The following is a 25,068-nucleotide window of genomic DNA, read 5'->3' as shown; positions in this document are numbered from 1 at the left end:
TAAGTGATTTTTCTCCCCTTTATTAAAAAAAGATTATACAATTTGGGCTCATATTAAAAAATTCAAACAGTAGAACAGTGTGTACGTAGAAGGCATTCCCCACTCCCACTCCAGGAGTTTGGGTATCATTCTAGAAGTGTTCTGTCAATACATAAGCATTTTTCATTCAAACACACACACACACACACGGGATCCCATATTCTATAATTTTTGTGTTTTAAAAAACCACCATATTTCATAGATATCTTTCCACTTAAGCACATTCGGAGCTCCATCATTTTTTTTTTTTTTTGAGACAGAGTTTTGCTCTTGTTGCCCAGGCTGGAGTGCAATGGCGCTATCTCAGCTCACTGCAACCTCTGCCTCCCGGGTTCAAGCAATTCTCCTGCCTCGGCCTCCCAAGTAGCTGGGATTACAGGCATGCACCACCATGCCCAGCTAATTTTGTGTTCTTAGTAGAGACAGGGTTTCTCCATATTGGTCAGGCTTGGTCTCAAACTCCCGATCTCAGGTGATCTGCCCGCCTCAGCCTCCCAAAGTGCTGGGATTACAGGCAAGAGCCACCGCGCCCAGCACGGTCTTTTCAAAGACCAGATAATTTATTTAACCAACTGTCTAAAGATGGACATTGTGATTGATCACACTATTTTATATATAACATTGAATGGAGTGGGTGAGTCCTAAGAAACATTCTCTCCTAAAAGTTTACATTTTTCATTGACTAGAAGTGACCAAAATAGATTCTACTGATGAGAAAAGACTTTTGAAAGCAGTATGGTCAGGTTGGCAGGTGAATGGCCTCAAGAGCTTAGGATTTCGTTGCTACTAAAAGAACAAGACTATTCAGTTGTGAAACAATGATTTAGTCAAATACTGATGCTGTCTCAGATGAGTAACTGCAAATCACTTCAAAAGGTAGAAGGGTAGCTTAAATGTGAAAAAGGTTACTGCCACTTCATGTAGGGAAGATAACAAGCATTTGCAAATAGCAAAATAGAAAGAAATAAATGGTTTCAGTACAAGCTCTTATATTCACTTGGCATCAAAATAGTCCAAAATAAATCTGAGAACCACGGCAAGTTATAGCTGTGTTAATGACAAAATGTGATATTTACTGTTTAAATTTAGCAGCTGGGAGAATCCCCTTATAAGGAAGACAGAAAATACGTTTATATCCAGACTGCATTACTCTTTGGAAAAATATGACCAATCAGATTTTGGGTATTATTGTTACAACCTTTTCCTTCACCTCTGCATCATGGTGATCAACTAAAGCTCTTATTTTCTGGGCACATTCTTCTCCATGTAACAGGAAAAACAATGAACCTTCAGTGAAAGTAGGCTGCACAGCTAAATGGCCTTCTATTTTGAGGCAGTTCTTTATATTCTGAAATAGCGTAAGTACTCGAAGAAGAATCTCCTTTGCTACGTGGCTGTCATAAAGGGAAAGGAATGATGAATCCACCTGAAATATGAAACAATGAGTATTATTTTATATTAATAATATATGAAAACTTTTTCATGTATATTTTAACATTTTAAAACTACATTGAATAACTCACATTTTAAAATTTTTAAATTCACATTTAAAATGTATCTCACATTAAAAAAATTTTGTCACAGAAAACCCAAAATTTCATAACTTAGATGTATAAAACCTTATGTACCCCCACGCTGTAATACTAATGGAAAAAAGGGAGTGTTTCAGCTGGAAAAATACAATTTCCTTGGAATTTTAGAATGTGGTTATTTGGGAAAAACAACCATTTTCTTTTTTAAGATCATCATACGGTTTTCATGGGAACTCATTTTTTCATCAAACATTTAGTGCCCATACACCACAGGGCACAGAGCTGGGTGGGGAATAGGGATGAGCAGATGAATACGATGGTTCCTCTTCTACAGGAGTGGAGCTCCATTCTATCCCAGCATTCAGAACACTTATCACAGCTTTTAATTACCTTGTTCACTTGTTATATATTTTTGTCTCTCCACTAGACTGTAAGCTTCGTGAGGACATGTACCATGTCACGCTGTGCTCACTGGTGTGTCTCATCTAGCATATGCTGGGGACTCAGTACTGCTGTTTCAGTGGATACTAAGATACATGTAAACACAAACAGTTCAAGTATAAAATATGGGATGGCACAATTGTACCCAAAATTGGGTAGAGAAAAAAGTTATAATTTATTGTTGCTAGGGTGAATTTTTAAAAATGTTTTTCAAAAGTAAAAGAGGCTCATTGCAAAAAATTTAGGAAATTTACACATACAAAATGAATTTAAAAAACCACCTTTAATACTGCTCCTCAGAGAGAATCCCTGTTAACATTTTAGGCTTAATCTTTCCAGATCTGTCTGTCTGTTCAAATGTATATATGTGTATATTTACAAAATAAATATATAAGCTATTTACTTGGGCACGGAGAAGTCCTTCTGTCATGGCTGGATTTTCAGACAAATTCAAAAGCAGTTTCAAAACTTGCACCTGAAAGAAGATGATACTGGCTTATCTCAGACTGGCAAGCATGAATTTTCTCTCTCAGGCATGCTGTTCTCTCACCATGTCTTCCTGTTAAAGTCCTGCCTAAGCTTCCAGGCCTGGCTCAAATTCTCTCTACTCCAGGAAACCTTCTCCGTTCATTCTACTTTAAAGGTCTCATTCTGAACTCTTATAACACTTGGCAGCACTCTTAGAGAACCTATCATAGAACAGTGTTATTTAAACCTCATTTTTCCAATTACATCGTTAGGGAGATAGAGAGAATATTGCAAATGTCTTGTACCACTCTTAGAGAACTTATCACAGAGATACAGGTTTTCTATCACACGGTTATTTAAACCTAATTTTTCCCAATTATAATGTCAGGGAGATAGAATATTGCAAATGTCTTCACAATCTACCCCCAATTCACATGCACATCTGAACAGTTGGTAAGCTTAACATCTGTTAAATACACGATCTTCATTATGATTACTGGTAAGTGAAGTATGGCCAGGCATGATGGTGTCGGCCTGTAGTCCTAGGTACTTGGGAAGCTGAGCGGGGGAGGATCTCTTGAGCCTTCCCATCTCAAGGATGTTCAAGTTCAAGGATGTAGTAAGCTATGATTGTGCCTGTGAACAGCCACTGCACTCCAGCCTGGGCAATATAGTGAGACCCTTAGACCCCATCTTCACCCCCGACAAAAAAGAAATAAAGAAATATAATCTTTAAAACAACAACAAAAAAATCTCTCAAAGCTCAGCTCATTTCTACTTAAACAGTAAAAATTTTGGAACTGTTTGGTTACCAAGACTAAATAAATAACAATATGGCCCCTTTTGGTAAGCTACCATGAATTTTTGAGGTTATCTTTTAATGTGAAAGTGTTTTACAATCATATAAATAAGCACAGTGATAAAAACTGATAGATCGGTTGATTGATTGAGATGGGGGTCTCACTATATTGCTGAAGCTGGTCTTGAACTCCTGGCCTCAAGCAATCCTCTCACTTTGGCCTCCCAAAGTAACTAGGATTACAGGCAATGAGCCACCATGCCCAGCAATGATATAAATAATAAGCAAATAAATGTTATCTAATGGGTGACTAGCTAAAATATCAGCATTCTTATCACTTATAACTGAAAAGTCAGTAATAACAAGACTCAAATAGAATGCCTCTTTTTAATTTATTAATTATTATTCTTAAGTTTTAGGGTACATGTGCACAATGTGCAGGTTAGTTACATATGTATACTTGTGCCATGCTGGTGCACTGCACCCACTAACTCGTCATCTAGCATTAGGTATATCTCCCAATGCTATCCCTCCCCCCTCCCCCCACCCCACAACAGTCCCCAGAGTGTGATGTTCCCCTTCCTGTGTCCATGTGTTCTCATTGTTCAATTCCCACCTATGAGTGAGAATATACAGTGTTTGGTTTTTTGTTCTTGCGATAGTTTACTGAGAATGATGATTTCCAATTTTGTCCATGTCCCTACAAAGGACATGAACTCATCATTTTTTATGGCTGCATAGTATTCCATGGTGTATATGTGCCACATTTTCTTAATCCAGTCTATCATTGTTGGACATTCGGGTTGGTTCCAAGTCTTTTAAAAACAAAGGCCATGTGAAACCATACTTTCTACAAGATACCTGGAACTAAAATAAGCATAGAGGGGGGTACTAACTCAGGGAAATGGGACAAATGTGCTCTTCACTAGAGCTGGGAAGGAACCTGGATATTATTTTAGAAAAATTTTTTATTACAAAGGCAACAGATGTTTACCATAGCACTTTCAAAAAAATAGAAAACCACAAAGAAAAAGAAAATTTACCCGTATTTACATAACCAGAAATGATCACGATTAAGTGTTGGTATTTTTGGCCAGGTGCGGTGGCGCATGCCTGCATTCCCAGCACTTTGGGAGGCCAAGGTGGGCAGATCACTTGAGCTCAGGAGTTCAAGAGCAACATGGGCAACATGGCAAAACCCCGTCTCTACCAAAAATACAAAAATCAGCCAGGCGTGGTGGCATGTGACCAAAGTCCCAGGGAGGCTGAGGTAGGAGGATTGTTTGAGCCTGGAAGCTCAAGGCTGCAGTGAGCAGAGATCATGCCACTGCAATCTAGCCTGGGCAACAGAGTGAGATTCTGTGTCAAAAAAGAGAAAGAAAAGTTTTAGTATTTTCTTTTTGGTCTTTTATGCAAATATCCTGTATAGTCACAATTTCTTTGATCATGTTGTAGATACTAATTTATTTGAGGATGACATAATACTTTGCTTAATTTTACTGTTTTTATCAAATATTTCTTTATTTTTAGAAAATTACTACTTGGTCATGATAAAAATTTTAAGTAATGCAAAAGAGAACAAGGTAAAAACAAAAGCCACCATGCTTTTGGCCCCTTCCAATCCTCAGCAGTGTCCACTGGTAACATTTCTTGAATATGCAGAGATTGTCTTTTTCAAAGAGATGCTATTAATAAATTAAGGCCTCTGGGGTTGAAAGAGTAAAGGAGACTTCTGACCCTTCTTTAGTGCACTCCGTGGAGGTCACTATCAGATCTCATCTGGCCTGACTGACTATCAGCAACACTAGGAATAAGTGTTAGGAAAAAAACACCTGGCTCCAATGTCAATGAAGTTTCAATTAGAAAAATAGGAACAGGAGGTATGAAATAGGATGGTCCTGAACTTACGAAATAAGCCTGGATGAAGTCAAAATCTAAGACCCACTAATAGTCAATGAGGGCAGGTATACAACCAGGGAATAGCAACAGCAATAGCTATTTGGTATCCTGTATTAAAATCTGATGTTGCTATTCTTTGTAGAAGGGAGTTAAATATGAGAAAAAAATATATATACAGTTAGAGTACAACTACAGATTAAACAAATATATGGATTTTGGTTTGAAACCATATTAAGACATGTTTTTTTTCCTCGTCACATGCACCATCTTGTGGTGACACTAGGACATTTTAAACCATTAGTTTTGTTTTCATTGAGGATGTAACAAGCACACAGTTTATGTTAATCCTCCACTATCTGCATTAAGTTATCAATCAGTGGTGTACCCAAACGGTTATTACAGTACAGTGAGATCCCTGACTTAAGCAAAATACGATATTTAAACATTCATTTTAGTGGTTATTTACTAAGAAAATACCTAAATCAGACACACTTTCCCACTAACAAATGGATGGCTATCCAAAAGTTCATTTGCAAGTTGGAACTTTAAACTCAATTTTTATGGAAAATCAATGTTGTAATTGGTAGGTATGTTCCAAGGCAGACCAAGAAAGCAAATTTTCTATCCTAGAAATACTGTACTAAGCAATGTAATGGAAAAACACAACACAACAAAACAAAAATAGAACATACTATTGTGGTCTGGGTCATCTTTTAAAAAGTCAAAAAATATATGAAAACACAGACGATGTCTGAGACAGATATATACAGCCCCAAGGCCAGACTTGCCTGGCTGAACTCAGCCTGGCTCTGGACTCAGAGTTCCTCCTGAGGTTCTGGGTAAAGCAGCTGCAGAGTCAGGCAGAGGAGAGATTTCTCCTACAGTGGCAACAACATACAGTAAAGAGGGAAGGAGTTTCCCCAGGGGTTCAGGGGCTGGAAGTTATCTTGTTCCACTGGAGACAGACATGCTGATGCACGTTGGAAACTGCCTGGGAATGGTGCAATATTGCTAGAAGACTACTCTTACATTTAATTTTCAATACCTTTTGGTACATCTTGGATCACATCCAAACAAGTTTGGCTATTGGAAAAGAGGAAAGTCCATGTACAAACACCTTGGAAACATAAAAGCAGGACTACAGTAAGACTCTCCTGTAATCACATCTTGATAAACTCAAAAATAACTGCAGTGATGTTGAATATTTGGAGTATGGCTTCACATTTGGTCTTTCTAAAATGCTTATGCATTTGTCTCTCAACTGTTCCAGAGAACACAGACTAACATGGTAAAAAGCCTTGATGAACAATCAACCCGACTTATCAGAACTTTTAATTAGCCTACAATCTATTTTTATGCTACTTTTTCTTGAAAAATGGCAATTGATAAGAATGCACACTAATATGAGAGATTTACTTAAGAAACTTTTTATAGGGCATCTCCTAAGGTCCTACTTAATTCAGCTCAATATCTGTTGCCTCTTATATCAACCTAACTGGACAGAGTGAAGCACTGAGACATCTTTCATATATTCAATTCACTTCATTTACTACAGCTTAAAAGTTGTTTTAGAAATATTTTTCAACAAATAACTGAATCAAAAAAATGATTTGTTAACCCTGAGGTAAGCAAAATATTCAACTAACCACTACTATTACTCAGACTCCTTTTAATCACAATGTTCCTATATTTGGTGGGGGGAAGCTAGCTTCTCAGAAAACCAAATGAACAGGAATCTGTTGATAAGTGAAACAACAGATGGTTTTCAAAAGTTAATTTTGCAATGGAATATTTGGGACTAAAAATAATATACTTTCTTGGGCCCATGTGAGTTTTTAATAAATCTTCCTCTTTGAGGCACATCAACTTAAGATAGGTGGCCTGCAAATACTATTTCAATGTTAATAAGCTTGACACAATAGCTCTTCATACCTTCGTGTTTCCATTTCCAGTAAGTAACACCTGGAACAGGTCTGTAATGTAACTGTGAAGCATGTGCTGGTGGTCATTGGTAACAGTCATGTTTGTCAACAATGTCAGTCCAGCCAGCTGCACAGCAGAGTTCAGAGGACCAGAGAAGACATCCTCACATACTTGACTGATGTATATCTGAAGGCAGGGGAGGAAAATGAGCATCTTAGAATCTCCAAAATTTTTCTACTGAACAGCCACTTTTCTGCACAGTGGAGTAGGGCTACTGCTCAGGATGGAACCGACTCCTCAAAAAATACGACTTTTTTTTTTTTTTTTTTTTTGAGACGGAGTCTCGCTGTCTCCCAGGCTGGAGTTCAGTGGCGCAATCTCAGCTTACTGCAAGCTCCGCCTCCTGGGTTCACGCCATTCTCCTGCCTCAGCCTCCAGAGTAGCTGGGACTACAGGCGCCCGCCACCACGCCCGGCTAATTTTTTTGTATTTTTAGTAGAGACGGGGTTTCACCATGTTAGCCACGATGGTCTCGATCTCCTGACCTCGCGATCCGCCCGCCTCGGCCTCCCAAAATTCTGGGATTACAGGCGTGAGCCACTGTGCCCGGCCAAAATATGAAATTTCTATCTGGCCCTCAAAAGTTGTTGACTTTTTAAAAGCTTCCTTTGGTAATTCCAGGCACAGTGCTTAGCATTTTACAAATACTCCTCACTTAATCCTGAAGACAACTCTAATGAGTTGGGTGTTGTACTATTACGGCTATCTTGCAGACAAGGACTTTTAAGTCTTTAAAGAGCTCGGGTCCCCTGCCCAATGTCAGACAGCAGGTGGGGATGCAATAGCCAAGCCCAGAGATCATGCTGTTAACACCAGTGGCTTCTCCCTGGTTGGAGGCCTCCCATCTTAGTCCACCTTTCGGTTTCAACTGGTCTGCGGTCTGCGCACACTGGGATCAGGGAAGAAGATGTGAGGCCATTTTGTATCATAGTAATAAGTACCTTAGCAGTAGGGTCTAGAGAGCTACATCATTTCAGAAGTAAAGAATGGGAGGATAATGTGAAACAGAATCTTTCCCTAGAATTAATCCTATCAAAAGTAAGCAGAACAAAATTATACTTGGCCTAAGGTTCTTATTTACCTAGGTGTGTATATATATATATATATATATATAATTCACCCCTTCATAATATTGTTAACTATCACTGGTAAAAAGTAATGCAATGCTGTAGTACTCTTGTATCATACATGACACAACTAAACTCAGTGTGATGGAAACTTTTCTGAAACTCTACTTTCTGTGTCTGGCCATGAGCTTTCTTTTTTTCCGGGGGGACAAGGTCTCACTGCCGCACAGGCTGCAATGCCACCATGCCCAGCTAATTTTTGTATTCTTTGTAGAGACAGGGTTTCACCATGTTGCCCAGGCTGGTCTCAAACTCTTGAGCTCAAGTGATCTGCCTGCCTCAGCCTCCCAAAGTGCTGAGATTACAGGTGTGCACCACCATGTCCGGCCTGGCCATAAGCTTTCTAGCTTACAAAAATTATGTTTTACAGATAACTACTAATCACTTAAGCAAATCTGAACTCCACCAAAAGTTCTAACTGCTAAGAAAATTTTCCTAATTTGAAGTGGTAAGTTACCAATTGTCCCATAAACAATTATTAATTTAAAAAAAATCCCAAATGTATCCATGTTACCATAGAAACTAAATGGCAGTAAAGCAATGAGAGATTAAACTTTTAATCTGGTTTCAAGATCTAAATTACATTTATTTTTAGAGACAGGGTCTCACTCTGTCACCTAGGCTGGAGTGCAGTGGTGTGATAACAGCTCACTGCAGCCTCAAATTCCCCCTGTCTCAGACTCCTGAGTAGCTGGGATTACAGATGCATGCCACTATGCCCAGCTAATAAATTTTTTTTTTTTTTTTAGAAATGGGTTCTCACCCAAACTGGTCAACACGGTGAGACCCCATATCTATTAAAAATACAAAAAATTGCAAGCGTGGTGGTGGGCACCTGTAATCCCAGCTACTCAGGATGCTGAGGCAGGAGAATTGCTTGAACAGGAGGCAGGGGTTGCAGTGAGCTGAGGTTGCACCACTGCACTCCAGCATGGGCAACAAGAGTGAGACTCCGTCTCAAAACAAAAACAAACAAAAATAAAGAAATGGGGTCTCACTATGTTGCCCAGACTGGTCTTGAACTCTTGGCCTCCAGCAATCTCCTGTCGTGGCTCCCAAGTGTTGGGATTACAGGTGTGAGCCACCACGCCTGGCCCTAATTTACATTTGAAAGTCAACTGGTTCTCTTTGGTTACAATTTAATTATACATCCATCCTTTAAAAACATGGCATTTATTTAGCTCTTTATAAATCATATACTTCTGTAAGATGCTGATGTCTTTCAAGGCATTTCCTAAAATGTGTGGACTGTTTACATCCTTATTATATCTGAATCTTTTTACCATTTCAATTATAATAACAAGATTACCAAATGGACCAGCTTAGTTATTCCTGCAGCTGTGTCCACCTCATCTTGTTCTGTTCTCTTGGAATTCTCTCCTTCCCCAACTCTACCTGTAGGGTAACATTCTCAAGAGCCAGGTCAGACTCCACCTCTTACAGAAACTTTTGGATGAAATCTCTCCTTTCTATGTACTCAATCATGTTTTACTTACATTTTTCTTTAAAGGACTTCATTATGTTCTGCCTTGACTTACAATTATTTAAGGACTTGCCTTATCCTTCCTTCCACCTTTCTTAGAACAAGAGTTGCATCATGCTCATTTGTATACTCTGCACCACAAAGCAGGAGGTTTGATAAATATTGAATTGAAATAACATAATTTCCTAATATTGCATTTTTCTGCTGACATTATCTGACCCTGGCCTGGTTCCTTTAGCACCCTTAGATTAAACTGAACCCCAACTCCAAAAGTCTTGTTGGCTGCAAAAGTTAGAAGCAGCCTGGCCAGCCTCCTTCAGTGGAATATGAAGGAGCCCTTGCAGATTTTGATTCCCACTCTAGAGCTTTTATCTAGATGACCATGGCAACTGAACAAAAGCTGGTGAGAGCTGTTAGAGTGTTTGAATTTGGTAGACCAGAAGTCCTGAAACTCAGTCAGATGTTGCAGTACCAGTTCCAAAAGACCATTAGTTGTAATCAAGGTTCATGCGTGTGGTGTCAACCCCATGGAGACATACATTTACTCTGGTATTTATAATAGAAAACCACCTTATTCTATGCTCAGATGTAACTGGGGTAACGGAAGCTGTTGGAGGGAATGCATCTACTTTCAAGAAAAGTGACAGTTTTCACTACCGGCACAATCTCTGGGAGCAGATTACGCTGTTTACAAACTGCCTGAAAAACTGGACTTTAAACAAAATGCTGCCATTGGTATCCCATATCTTACTGCATATCGAGCTCTGATTCACAGTGTCTGTATGAAAGCTGGAGAGTGTTCTGGTTCATGGGGCTAGTGGAGGAGCTGCAGTAGCAACATGCCAAATTGCTAGAGTTTATGTCTTAAAGGTTTTGGGCACAGTTGGTACTGAGGGACAAAAAGACTTTTGCAAAATGGAGCCCACAAAGTGTTTAATTACAAAGAAGTTAACTATGTTGATAAAATTAAGAAATGTGTGATAAGAAAGGAATTGATGTGATTATTGAAATAATAGCTAATATAAATCTTAGTAAATATGCGAATTGTTTGTCATATGGAAGATAAGTAATAGGTGTTGGCAACAGTGGTACCATTGAAATAAACCCATGGGACACTATGGCAAAAGAGTCTAGTAAAATTGTCGTTACTCTATTTTCCTCAACCAAGGAGGAATCTCAGCAATTTGCAGCAGCCTGTCAAGCTGGAATGGAAATTGGTTGGCTGAAACCTGTAATAAGTTCTCACTATATGTTGGAGAGGTGGCCCAGGCTCATGAAAATATCTCTCACGGCAATGGGGCTACTGTAAAAATGATTCTTCTCTTTTGATGATTAATTCTTTCATGGATTTCAGAGGTTGTCTTTTGCCCAGTTTTACTTACACAATCTTTTGTTTAATTAACATTCATTTGATCCAGTGAGTTTCTTATGGGAAAAAAGTAAGATTTTTCTTTGGAGAACTAAGCAAGTAGAGTAAAATTTATTTTATGGCTGGCAATATTTTTTTTTACCTTCTATTTCAAATCAGGAAATCTTCATAGTACAAAATAGCATGCTAGTGGTCTTCTGGCATTGGAGTGCATTCCAGAAATTCTTAACTGATACTTGATTAATTCTATACCTTTGATTAAAACATGCTAATTCAAAATAAGCGTTCTCAATTTCCAAGGACTTCCAATCCTACTTACTTTCATAAAGGTTCTTTAGTCTCTGATTAGCCATAACTGTATTGGACTCTAAAGATTTTCTGGACTAAAAAAAGACCCCTATTCCAAACTAATCTCATCTGGATCTATACGTCTTGTGGAAGGGCAAGAACACATAATTTCCAGGGCACTTTGCTAGTTTTCCAATATTTCTCCAAATATTAGAATATCCACTTCATTGGATATTCTAATTGATTGTCAATGACCCCATATATTCTGTGAGGACAGCAGCCTTATCTTTGGTATGACACTTGGTACATAGCCTCCAAACTGGTAATACTTCTTGACTGATCAGATTTTCAAAGTAGATTTAGAGTTACCTGTTTGTGTGATGGGGGTCATATATTTTTATTGAAATTAATAAGCTCACCAATTTGATACATTAAGAATGGTCTGCTTTTGCTTCATAGCATAGTAATCTGTAATTCTGTAGAAAATTAAATTTTCTAGTCTATATAGTACTTGCCTCTCATCACTTCTGCATAGCTCCTCACAGTTACTGCTTAACAGTGTTTTGGGCTGGAAGTCTTTATCTAAACTAAATACAGAGATTACCTCTTACAAATCTTGCCATCAACATTATATTCAAGGAAATAAAGTTTGGTTATTTGTTGTTTTTTTCTTCATAGGAGCACATCCTCCTGTCTCTTGTTTCGTGATTGTCTTGACCTGATTTGTTCTGTTGAATGACAATTTCTAGTTTGAACATGGGAGTCCTGTTTCAATAATAAACATAAAACACTGCTCTTTTCTATAACCAAGGGGTATCACTGGGTTCTGGCTATATATGCCATGGCTGAAGTGTTTTAACTGTTGGCATTTACCAAGTTAACTATTTTTTTTACAGGTTAACTGCCTCATAAATAACATTTTTGAAAAAGCATTAAAGCAATGTCAGTAACGTAGGTTAGCATTTTATGTGCATCCTAAAATGGAGGATTTCTCCCCATACAACAAGATAAAGGAACAGTTATTCTGTAAAAGTCAGTTTAATCTATTTGCACATTTGCCTCATCCATTGAAAGAGCTAAAGCATACAGTGACTTAACACTTTGCAATACACTCATACAGTACACTTAATTTCAAAGGCAAAACTAGCCAAACTGTATGCATTAACAACCATATTTATGAATATGTAGCATCGGATATGCTCCCTGAATGAATCTCTTGTAATACTAGTTCTAGTTCTAGCGCAAAGTCTTGTCCCAACTTTCAGCCAACTATATTCACTATTTGGTTGGTGCCTATAGCCTTAAGGCTATTACTGTCACCAGTGCCTGTCCCTGATGTAGAGGATAACCTGTAGAATAAACAAGCATTATTTTACTGAAACAAAAGTCTTATTGTACCTCTTATTGGCTAGTTCAGGTCCCTCCCTCTTCTGTCTTATTCTCCATTCCTCTAAAGGTAATCCTTGGCTGTAAAATTACAAAGGATAGTCTACTAAAGTTTCATTACTCATCTTTTTGTTATTTTTTATTTATAGAAAACCTTATACATTTGTGATTTTCAGTCAACTTACCTTTATCTTGATTTGATTTTCAACATTCACACTCAGGTTATTTAGTGCATTTAAAGCTTTCTCTTTAATACTCTGGTTGGAATGGTTGATTTTGTTTGCAACAATTGGAATACCACCCAATTCACGAATAATAGCCTACGAGGGGAAAAAAAAAAAAAAAGCAGGACTGGGACTTCAGTATGCATCTCCGTTCACTGAATTCTTTGCATCCACAAATACAATTAAAAATCAACGGCTTTTTGGAAATCTCTTTCCCATATACAAATATTTAATTCATATTTTAAAAAAATCTCACTACCCATACTTTTATAGGTAAAGAAAATCCATTGAAAATAAGATTATTAAGATATATAATTATTTAAACTACAATGTTGAGAAATACAATAAAAATTTATAGAGATACTATAACGATCTTGAAGCAACTTACAAATAAAATTATTTTTCTTTGAGATGAGTTATATGACTTCTCCATTATAGGCAAAACTGGAAAAGTGTTATAATTTAGAATACTAAAGTTAGTGTTTTGGATTTAGAATACTAAAGTAGTGTTTTGCTAACACGTATTATTTGAAACACTAATCCCTCAAAATGTTAAGAGATGTTCCATAAAAATAAGGGGGGGTGGTTTCCCATGGTTATCTAAGTTTAGGAAAATCTGAGTATAACAAGAGTAAGCATGTTTCTTTAATATGTCCATGTGCATTGGGAATCTTGAAGAGGGGTGTGTTGACGATAGTATGTCTATGAACTAAACACAAAAAAAGGGTCATTTTTTCAGCAGTGGAAGTGGTGGGAACGCACTGATATCTTGCAGAATCAGGTTCCACACAGTTTGAAAAATGGTACCCAGGGCCAGGCGCAGTGGCTCACACCTGTAATCCCAGCACTTTGGGAGGCCGAGATGAGTGGAACACTTGAGGTGAGGAGGTAGAGACCAGCCTGGCCAACATGGTGAAACCCCATCTCTACTAAAAATACAAAAATTAGCCAGGCGTGGTGGCCAGTGCCTGTAATCCCAGCTACTGGGGAGGTTAAGGCAGGAGAATCGCTTGAACCTGGGAGGAGGTTACAGTGAGTTGAGACTGCACCACTGCACTCCAGCCCGTGCAACAGAGTGAGACTCTGCCACAAAAAAAAGAAAAAAAAAAAAAAAAAAAAGAAGAGAAATGGTACCCAAATATTCAGAGGGAAAATAATCTGGGATGTCTTACAGTTGGTTGCAATACTATGTTACCATGTGCTTTTGGCTCAAACATTGAAAGAATTAAATCGCTTTAATTCTCGTAAGAAAAATATGCTAAAAATTATTCTTGTCAAGTGAAGACATGCTATTCTAGCAGGAAAAAAGAAAAAGACTGCCAAAATCTACTTCTTAGAAATAGCTCAATACTCCATTTTACCGTTAAGGGTGATCTTAGCATTAAAAGAGAAATAAACTTTCCCTTTACAATTTCAAGTTCTTTCGAAGGACTTGCAGTTACTAGAAAAGTTTTTTTTTTTTTTAACTGTATTGTTAAAGCAGATTAAGGTACTATAATTGATGGTGAGGGCACTGACCCCCGCTGCTCAAGAAAGTACTTCTTCTCCAGTGGGTACTGGCCTACTCTGACTACAACTTATTTTAGAGGAATACAAAATTATGCCATCAGAAATACTTCTTTAAAGGCAGGCTAACACATTAATCACTAGCTATTGTTTTTGCTTGTCTAGTGGCTCTCTTTCCACGGGGGCAGATGTGGCATCTCCTCTGTCCCACACGGTCCCTGCTGGGATTGTTGTTCACTTGTATTCACAGCCATCCCTGCTACTTAGCTGCAGGATGCTCATGTGAACCAGGCCTCAATAAACATGGGCCATGGTCCCTCGACTGATCCAGAAATTGCCCCGGAGATTGATCCAAAGGGTTAACACTGGATCCTAGAAGAACAACTGTACCTTTTGGATAATGAGCTACAGAGATGAAGGCTTAGAGAGGCTAGTGGCTTTCTTTCAACCCTGGTGAAGAAAACCACTTTGTGGCCAGAAAGATAAAGACCAATACATAAAATTGAGCGGCCATAAGCAAAGCCAAAAGGTAGAGAAAGAGAGAACTCTGGGAACTCTGCAACCTTGAACTGGACTCAGTTGTGCCTGAAATCAATGCTATTCTTCGCTGTCCAAGTTAGCTGAGCTCAATATTTTCCCTTTTAGGCTTAAAATAATTTAAAGTGAATTCTGTCATTTATAACTGAAAGAGTACATAATGCACAAAGATTCTCTATCTCCCTATACGTTTATAGAGCTTTACAGTAAACCTTGCCATTCTGGAGAAAGCTGGGCTAAAAAAAACTATAAATTCAAAATAATTTTGTACTTATGACAATGTTAACAAAGGGCATTGGCTGAAAACAATTACGAAATTTTGTTTTAACTATTTTTTCATGCTGGAGGGTTGTGAGGAAGAGTAGGAAGAAGCACATGTTCAAATTAAGCTCTTTAGTCTTAGTGTTAAGTCTCCATTTGCAGGAGCCATTTACATTGATTAGTGGTTATCAGAGTGTGGTCCAGGGACCATCAGCATCAGAATCATATTCATAAGACCGATATACAATTTAAAGTATGTACTTAAATGTTAGATGCATTCATTGTTTTACTGAAGCACTGCTGAATTTTAAATAATTTAAAAGGCCATGAAATGGTAAACGTTGATTAGATATACTTACGAATGTGATGCCAGTGACCAACTTCATAGGGATCTATAATCACATTAATAATCATATCACTATTAGGCTGTGTTTTTCAGAAGTAAACAAACATTATGTTTTAAGTATAAGTAGCCACATTGCACAGATGAGGAAATTGAGGGTCTGAGAGGTTAAGTAATTTATTCAGGGTCACAATTACCGCTAGTGTGTAAGAATGGAAAGAGCTTGCTTGCTGAGTTGAGGTACTTACTTGGTTAACTGAAAAGGCTGCATTGTTACCCAAAGTAATCAAAGCTCTTTCAATAATTACAGGATCCTCCGTTGACTCCAGCAGGTAAAGGAGTTTCTGAAGTTGTTCAGCATTTAGAACATCATCATATGAACCATCAGTTAAGTCTTCTGCATAAGAAGAAAGTTATTTGAAGTTAAGCTAAAATCAATACGAGGTTATTTTTGAAACAGGCTCTCACTCTGTCACCCAGGCTGGTGTGCGGTGGCACAATCATGGCTCACTACAACCTTGATCTCCTGGGCTCAAGTGATCTTCCTGCCTCAGCCTCCCAAGTAGGTAGGACCTGTGGTCCTAGCACATGCACCACACCCGGCTAATTTTAAACATTTTTTGTACAGATGGGGGTCTCACTATGTTGCCCAGGCTGGTCTCAAACTTCTAACCTCAAGCAGTCCTCCTGCCTTGGCCTCCCAAAGTGGTGGGATAATAGTATGAGCCACTGTGCCCAGCCTGTTTTTTTAAAATTTTTAAAACAATATCGAATACATACTTGTATGGCAGGCACAGTATTAAGCACTTTACATCCTTAGGAAGAAGATACTTGTAGTACTCTCAAATTACAGCTGGGAAGTGTAGGCTTATAGATACCAAGAAATTAGTCAATGGTCACCTGGCATATGGCTGTTAGTAAGACACTTCATGCAAATACTATATACCTCAAATGCTGATAACATTTTGCTTCTCCTTTTAAAAACGAGGTACACCCATCCAATGAACACTTACCTATAAAGAGATTAATTAGGAAATATGATTTGCATTAAGCAGATCTTTTCTGAGCACATCAGATAGAAGGAAAGCTATGAGAGTAAACCAATCTTGTTGCTAGTGTGGCATTTTTGTTTGATTTATACAAGGCATGATGACTAGGATCCTAGAATAATAGTCCTGCTGGTGGTGATGACAAAAGAAAACCTGACATTTTGAAGAAGAGCTAGGATAGCCAAATGCTGGATCTGCTCAATGATGTTTAAACTTATGGCTTTACCTTAAAAAAAATCCTCTTTACAGAAATCACCACAGGAAGAACAGAAGCCATTTTATAACACTCTTACTGGGGTGGTGGGGGGAGGGGCAAGGGTAGGTGAGGAGGAGGTTACACAACAATAGGTGTTACATGATCTCAAATCTGTGTTTTTTCTTAAAACACATAAAATTGTTAGGCTGGGCATAGCAGCTCATCTCTGTAGTCCCAGCACTTTGGGAGGCAGGAGAATCACTTCAGGCCAGTGGTTCGAGACCAGTCTGCACAACATAATGAGACCCTGTCTCTATTAAAAAAAAAATAAGTAAATAAAATTGTTAAAGGTGATTATTTTTGGGTAGTGGGATTATGAAGGACTTTTATTTTCTACCCTGTACTCAACAGTACTTTTTTTTTTTTTTGCAATAAACAGGTATTATTTCTGTAACTAAAATAACTAAGTATATTGCTCAAAGAAGAATCACACACACACACACAAAAATAAATAAAGGGACAAGTATAGATTACACATGGGAAACAATATGTGGTACGTGATATATAATATGTGATGCCCTGAGGAAGCCAAATAAGAAATGTTAAGAAAATGTCACAGCTACAAAGCTAGAATATTCTCACTACCAAGTCTTAATCAGGACCTTTTACTTTTGAATACACTGTTGGCCTCATTAACACCTTATAAAATAGCGTTTCACCCAAAGAATACTTGAAAAGATAAAGGAAAGAATGATAAAAACACAACTTTTTAGAACGGAAAGAATTTGGGGTTCATCCAAACCTCTTATTTTACACAGGAAGAAACTGAAGCCAGGATTGTTCAAGGATCTGCCTAAAGTCACAGGGGTAGTTAGTAGCAGAAACCACAGAAATGAAAAATCAAAGTTACAAGTAAGTCACTTACTATTTTTGGGGGTCTCAGTTTTCTCATCTGCAAATAAAAGGGTTGGCTTAATACTGTAACTGGCTCCAGAGTTTCCTACACAGCCCTGAAGTTGTATGATTTCATATACACATGCATACATACACGTGCACATGCATGGCAGAAATGTGATAAATTTAACTCATCCATATTTGAGATATTTCAAAATCATACCACTCTATGTTATCTCATGAAGTCATTTTTAAAAAGCTTATAGACTGGGTGCAGTGGCTCACGCCTGTGAACCCAGCACTTTGGGAGGCTGAGGCGGGCAGATCACTTGAACTGAGGAGTCTGAGACCAGCCTGGCCAACATGGTGAAACCCCATCTCTACTAAAAACAGAAAAAAATTAGCCAGGCGTGGTGCAGGATGCCTTGTAATCCCAGGTACTCGGGAGGCCGAGGCGGGAAAATTGCTTGAGCCTGGGAGGCAGAGGTTGCAGTAAGCTGAGATTGCATCACTGCACTCCAGCTTGCGTGACAGTAATGAAACCTTGTTTTTGTTTTTGTTTTTAAAAAAGAGAAAGCTTATAGATGTATAAATTCTTTATAAATAGCCATTTAAAATTTTTCTAGGGATTAAATCACTAACGATAAAATTTCACGGTGTTGTATCACAGAATTCTCACTTGGTGGGAAGAGGCACAATGTGGTAGTTAAAACTAAGCCAAGGCTATGGGGTCAGGTTGTCTAGTTCAAATTCCCAAATAAGCTACTTACCAGGTAAGAGACTTAGGCTCTCTCAGCCTCAGTTTACTCATCTGCTAAGTGGGAGTTAATAGTGCCTACCTCAAAGCACTTTTGTACCTAGAATATTTAAAGTGACTAGTATATTATTTTCATTAATGGGACACATAGCTGATTAATAATAGCAAAAGTGGCTTTAGAATCCAGATCTTTTTACTCCTACATTACTCTTTCCTCTCAACCATTATTCCTCCTAGTATATTAATATAATGAGCCTAGCTGAATGCGGTGGCTCACACCTGTAATCCCAGCACTCTGGGAGGCTGAGATGGGCGGATCACGAGGTTAGGAGTGCAAGACCAGCTTGGCCAAGATGCTGAAACCCTGTCTCTACTAAAAATACAAAAATTAGCCAGGCATGGTGGCACATGCCTGTAATCTCAGCTACTCCGGAGGCTGAGGTAGAAGAATTGCTTGAACCTGGGCGGCAGAGGTTGCAGTGAGCCGAGATCCCACCACTGCACTCCAGCCTGGGCAACAGAGCAAGACTCCATCTCAAAAAATAAATGAATAAATAAAAAATAAAATAATGAGCCTATACTTTAATTCTATATATTCTCTTTGAATTTCTAATAAAAACCATTTATCGGCCCAGCACGGTGGCTCACACCTGTAATCCCACCACTTTGGGAGGCCAAGGCAGGCAGATAAGCTGAGGTCAGGAGTTCGAGACCAGCCTGGCCAAGATGGTGAAACCCCGTCTCTACTAAAAGTACAAAAATTAGCCAGCAGTGGTGGCACATGCCTGTAGTCCCAGCTACTCGGGTGGCCGAGGTAGAAGCATCACTTGAACCTGGGAGGCAGAGGTTGCAGTGAGCTGAGATCGCACCACAGCACTCCAGCCTGGGCGACAGAGCAACACTCCATCTCAAAACAACAAAACAAAACAAAAACCATGTATAACTTTTTAGTAAAGAAATGTAAAACTTAAAACTCTAAAAATTTTACAGGAGGGCGATCATCAAATACTCAGCTCTTCCACTGGTGAGTTTTTGGACTGCTATTACACAGGTGAGGAGTCAAACATGTGTTCTACTTTCCATCTAGCTCTGTGCCAACAAGACTGTGAAAGAATCTTAGGCTCGGTGGTTTGTGGTCTCCTCCAGTAAATCAAGGAGAAATTAGAATTCTCAAAGGGAATGAAAAGTGACTACCACATTATAACGTAGCAAGACAAATTTCAAGATAACTGTCATGGTTCAGAATCTTTCCAACTGGGAACACAATATGCCTGTTTATGTAGTCTTAGGCCCTTCAGTAAAATTATCTTCTCACTACAGGAACTCCTAGTTTTTAAAGTGAATTCCTAATTTTTAAAGTTTTTATAGCTATCATGAATGATATATATTTTTTGAAACAGGGTCTCATTCTGTCAAATAAAATATTTTCAATTAAAATTTTGAATTGTTACTGCATGTATACAAGAAGTTATTGATTTGGGTATATTTACTTGTACTCAAGATATTTTATTAAACTCATTGCTTCTAGTAGTTAGTTAATTCTCTTGGATTTTTCCAAGTAAATCATTATGCCACCTACGATTATAATTCTGCCTCCAATATTTATGCATGTTGTTTTCTTATCAAGCTATGACTCCAGAAGAACGTTGAATAGTAGCTGTGATAGCAGACACCCTTCTCTTGTTCTTGAGTTTGATAAGGATGCTACTAACTAGTGTGTCTATTAAATACGATATTTGCTTTTGGGTTTTGATGGATGTACTTGATCAACTTAAGAACATTTCCTTCTATTTATTCCTTACTTGCTGCAAGTTTTTATCAGAAATGATAAAATTTTTTTTCTTTTTTTTTCCCCGAGCTTCAGCTATGGAAAGAAATATTTTAATGCCTTTTTATTATGAGGTCATCATGTGGCTTTTCCTTTTTCTAGTATGACTCCTCCTTCCATGTCCATTTGGCCTTGGTATATTATTACTTTAATCCCCTGATAGATTTGACTTGCTAATATTTTAAGATTTTTATATCTTTATTCATAGTTGAGACAGATTTATAGTTTTTCTTACCATCCTTGTCAGGTTATGACGTTAGATTGTTGGATGAATTGGGACTGTTTCCGTCTTTTTCAATGCTCTCAAACCACGTTAGTACAAAAATTATTTTATTTTTTATTTTTTAAGACAGAGTCTTGCTCTTTTGTCCAGGCTGGAGAGCAGCGGCACAATCACAGCTTACTGCAGCCTTGACCTCCTGGGCTCAAGGGTTTCTCCCAAAACAGCCTCCTGAGTAGCTGGGACTACAAGTGCACACTACCATGCCTGGCTAATTTTTCTATTTTTTGTAGAGATGGGGTTTCACTATGTTGCCCAGCCTGGTTTTGAACTCTGGGCTCAAGCGATTCTTCCACCTCAGCCTCCCAAAGGGATTAGAGGTGTGAGTTTAAAACAAAGAAAAGATCGCCACTGCACTCCAGCCTGGGCAACAGAGCAAGACTCCGTCTCAAAAAAAAACAAAAACAAAACAAACAAAAAACAAAAGATCATCTTCTGAAATCTAAGCGTGATGATGACTTTATTAGTCCATTCTCATGCTGCTATGAAGAACTGCCCGAGACTGGGTAATTTATAAAGGAAAGAGGTTTAATTGATTCACAGTTCCACATGGCTGGGGAGGCCTCAGGAAACTTACAATCATGGTGGAAGGGGAAGCAAACACTTCCTTCTTCATAGGCAGCAGGAAAGAGAAGGAGTGCAGAGCAAAGGGGGAAGCCCCTAATAAAACCATCAGATCTCCTGAGAACTATCACGAGAAGAGCATGGAGGGGAGGGGAACTGCCCCCGTGATTCAATTACCTTCCACCGGGTCCCTCCCACGATGTAGGGATTATGGGATTACAATTCAAGATAACATTTGGGCCGGGCACAGTGGCTGATGCCTGTAATTCCAGCACTTTGGGAGGCTAAGGCAGGCACATCACCTGGCCAACATGGTGAAACCCTGTCTCTACTAAAAATACAAAAAAAATTCGCCAGGCACATGGTGTGTACCTGTCATCTCAGCTACTCCGGAGGCCGAGGCAAGAGAATCGCTTGAACCCATGAGGTGGCGGTTGCAGTGAGCTGAGATCATGCCACTGCACTCCAGCCTGGGAGACAGAGTGCGACTCCGTCTCAAAAAAAAAGAAAAAGATGAGATTTGGGTGGGGACACAAAGCCAAACCATATTGATGATGAAATGAGCATTTCTCAAGTCTTCTTCAATGATAAAGGAGTAGCTTCAGGAAGAAGGGACTGTGAGCAAATTATTTTTTAAGCTGCCTTACCTAAGATAATGATGATTATGGGAACTGTTAAGTTTAAAAGACTGTCCACATTCATCAGATTGAGTCAGTATAACTGAGAAGATATCTGAGTCCAGGACACCTTCCCAATGTACTTATACAAAAATATCTCTGACATGGGCAAAGACAACAAATTAGGCTTTGTAAATGCTATGATTTGAATGTCTCCTGCGAAACTCATGTCGAAACTTAATTCCCAATGTGGCAGTATTGAGAGGTAAGGCCTTTAAGAGGTGACTGGATCATGAGGGGTCTGTCCTCATGAATGAATTAATCCATTCATGGATTAATGAGCAGGACTGGTGGCTTTATAAGAACAAGAGACCTGAGTCAGCATGTTAACACACTTGCCCCTCTGGCCTTGGGATGCCCTATGCCACAACAAGAAAGCCCTTACCAGCTACGGCCCCTCAATCTTGGACTTCTCAGCTTCCATAACTCTAAGAAATAAATTTCTTTCCTAATAAATTACCCAGTTTCAGATATTCTATTATAAGCAACAGAAAATGGACTAATACAGTAAGGGTACATACAAATCTTTAAAAAAAAAAAGCTGAATTATACCTAGTGGCAAAAGTGAGAGAGACCTTCCCCTTCCACTCCCTTTTTCTTAAAGCATTCCCTCGTGCAAACTTGTAATTAAAAATCCTTTATTGGCCAGGTGAGGAGGCTCAATCCTGTAATTCCAGCACTTCGGGATGCTGAGGCAGGAGCACTGCTTAAGCCAAGTTCAAATCAGCCTGGGCAACATGGTGAAAACTCATCTCCTAAAAAATTGGAAAAATTAGCCAGGTGTCGGTGTGCACCTGTAGTCCTAGTTACTTAGTGGGGTGAGGTGGGAGGAGCCCAGGGAAGTGGAGGCTGCAGCTGTGATTGCGCCGCTGCAGCTGTGATTGCGCCACTGCACCGAGCCTGGGTGACAGAGGGAGTCCCTGTCTGAAAACAAAACAAAACTCCTTTTTCTGCTTCTTTGATACAAATGTAAATCTTTTTGTTTGTTTTTTGTTTTTTGAGACAGAATCTTGCTCTGTCGCACAAGCTGGAGTGCAATGGTGCAATCTTGGCACACTGCAACCTCTGCCTCCTGGGTTCAAGTGATTCTCCTGCCTCAGCCTCCTGAGTAGCTGGGATTACAGGCACCCACCGCCAAGCCCGGCTAATTTTTGTATTTTTAGTAGAGATGGGGCTTCCCCATGTTGGTCAAGCTGGTCTTGAACTCCTGACCACATGATCCGCCTGCCTTGGCCTCCCAGAGTGCTGGGATTACAGGTGTGAGCCACCACACCCAGCCTGTAAATCTTTTTAAAAGTGAAATAAGCATTTGGCCAGTTTTACAGCCCAAGAAAGACTTTCTTAAAAGCTTTGGAGCCTACTGTTCGAAAGCGTACTCTTTGAAACCTACTCTTCCAGGAAGATAGATCCCCAATCTCCCCAACTCTGTGAGTTTTTAGCCTGGGCACCTGGTTCCACATCATAAAGATATTTTTATTTTTCCTCTGGATAAAGGCAATTAGATAACAACCACCCCAATTACCAGTAAATTCAGGATAAACTACATGTAGCAAATGGTACTGTCAAGTCCTCTTACCTAAGGACAAATTATTTTTTATCTTGAGAACACGTATGTAATATGAAATCGGTTCTATCTGTCCAGCTACATTTAAAGGAATTAGAATTCTTCCTGCTATCCCATTAGCAAATTGCCCGTGATGTGTGAGGCAATTTAGTTTGTGCTTATTCAACAATGAAGCTGTTTAGCTCTCTTCTACAATTGTGGACAGGAGTTTCTTGGATGGCAGATATGATATTTTAAATTATTTCCCTAACAGCTTCCATGATGTGAAACATGCCTTTGGAGGGTTTTAATGTACCGATCAACTTTTGGACAGAAACCGAATCATGCATTTGTCCGCTGGGAGGGTGTGTCTCGCGCAGACAACTGTTCCCATTTCCAAAACACACACCAGGCTGCGAGGTCTTGGACCACTGTGACTCCCAGGTACCTCCCGTCTGAGGCCGGGCCGAGCGCCCGCACAACTGACCCTCTGACGTCCCTTCTTCCAGGGCACCTGCAAGCAGAGATTGACCTATGGCTCTGGGCCCCTCAACAGCCCTTCCACAATCGGGAGAATCCCTTTAGTTACACAAAGGCCCGGAGCAAGCTTTAAAATGAGAGGCCATCAACAGGTTTTTAAGAAATCTAATCCTCCGCTGTGACGCGGAGCTCAGGCAGGAAAGCCAGGGCAAGTTTTCATACCAGTATAGTCAGCAAAGGGGCGGCGGGGGCGGCGCAGCACCCTGCACTCACACAAGTACTGCCTCTCCCTCTAGCTCGGCTCCTCATTTTACCCCGAGCACACGCAAGCCACCACCCCGGCCTGGGGAGCCCCCCTGCCCAGTCCCCGCCCACCTGCCGGAAACCCCGGGGTCCCACCTGCGGACTTCGAAGAGCGTATCCCGAGCTCGCGGTCGCCCCGCCGCCGACCCCGGGTCAGCCTGTAAATGCAGTAGCAGGCGCCCGCGCCGAGCAGCAGGCCCGCCGCCACCCAGCCCGCGCCCCGGGGGCCACCCATGCTGCCGCCGCGGCAGAGCCGCAGCGCCGGGCCAGGGCAGGAGGCTCGCGGGGGCCAGCGCGGAGGTCTCCAGCGCACGCGGGCCTAGCCGCCACAGCAAACGCCACCTGACCTGGATGTGGAGAAAGGAAATGGGGTCTGAGCTCCGCCTCCCGGAAACGGCCTAGCTCAAAGCCTATAACCGCCCACTCCAGCCCGGCGCGTCCCGGCGGCTTCTCCCAGGCGAGGCGGGGCGGTGCGGGGCGCTGCACACCGGGAGGGGGGGGTCGGACGGTGCGCCCCACGCGGAGACGCCGGGGCCCGCAACCCAGAGCCGAGCTTCCCGTCTCTTCCCCCGGGGCGTGAAGCAACCATTCCTCCCTCCCGCCCCTGGCAGCGGAGCGCGGGGCGGTGCCACGCCCAGCCCCGCCCCCTGGTTGCCGGGACAACGCCCGCACGCGCCCGGCCCCTAGTCCCAGCGCGGGGAGGGTACTATCGCAGCTTCTCCGTCAGGCCTTGGGCCATGGCCTCGCTACGCAATGCCAACCCGAGGCTGAAGAACTACTTCAAGGAGAACTACATTCCTCAGGTCTGCGAG

The 25,068-nt window shown here is 40.3% G+C and overlaps 2 protein-coding genes and 1 pseudogene across 32 annotated transcripts in view, besides 2 other annotated features; 2 read left to right on the top strand and 1 right to left on the bottom strand.

Moving 5' to 3' along the window:
- ARMC10 (armadillo repeat containing 10) lies at positions 5-24,624 on the bottom strand. 19 transcript variants are annotated; one of them, XM_017012684.3, is made up of 8 exons: positions 24,353-24,624; positions 23,883-23,987; positions 17,856-17,882; positions 15,934-16,082; positions 13,000-13,134; positions 7,111-7,287; positions 2,416-2,487; positions 5-1,465 (listed from the first exon to the last, which is right to left on the bottom strand). In XM_017012684.3, exons 1-8 carry the CDS (start codon positions 24,489-24,491, stop codon positions 1,211-1,213), a joined length of 1,059 nt encoding a protein of 352 aa, XP_016868173.1. In that variant the 5' UTR covers positions 24,492-24,624; the 3' UTR covers positions 5-1,210. The 19 variants fall into 19 exon arrangements, with proteins under 19 accessions (XP_016868173.1, XP_047276868.1, XP_047276869.1 ...); XM_047420912.1 differs by lacking the exon at positions 17,856-17,882 and having other exon boundaries at positions 23,769-23,987; XM_047420913.1 differs by lacking the exon at positions 17,856-17,882 and having other exon boundaries at positions 23,790-23,987.
- On the top strand, positions 9,989-12,063 carry CRYZP1 (crystallin zeta pseudogene 1; annotated as a pseudogene).
- Positions 23,878-23,927: an enhancer, noted in NCBI's record as "active region_26438". NCBI's record gives its function as "activates an Ori minimal core promoter by ATAC-STARR-seq in GM12878 lymphoblastoid cells {active_cell/tissue: GM12878}" and the evidence as "EXISTENCE:reporter gene assay evidence [ECO:0000049][PMID:35858748]".
- Positions 24,198-25,037: a silencer, noted in NCBI's record as "silent region_18509". NCBI's record gives its function as "represses an Ori minimal core promoter by ATAC-STARR-seq in GM12878 lymphoblastoid cells {active_cell/tissue: GM12878}" and the evidence as "EXISTENCE:reporter gene assay evidence [ECO:0000049][PMID:35858748]".
- FBXL13 (F-box and leucine rich repeat protein 13) overlaps positions 24,968-25,068 on the top strand; it is a 263,608-nt gene continuing 263,507 nt past the window's right edge. For 12 of the 13 annotated variants that reach the window (NR_105043.2, XR_927410.4, XM_005250207.5 and 9 more), the window contains exon 1: positions 24,968-25,068. Coding sequence is in view for 9 of the 13 variants with exons in the window: in XM_005250207.5 (XP_005250264.1) it covers positions 24,994-25,068 (75 nt within the window). In the remaining 4 variants the exon portion in view is untranslated. The other variant, XM_017011850.3, reaches the window with a different exon arrangement.

Source organism: Homo sapiens, chromosome 7, assembly GCF_000001405.40.
Source record: "Homo sapiens chromosome 7, GRCh38.p14 Primary Assembly".
NCBI classification, from domain to species: Eukaryota; Metazoa; Chordata; class Mammalia; order Primates; family Hominidae; genus Homo; species Homo sapiens.
This window is presented reverse-complemented; position numbering and strand designations above follow the sequence as displayed.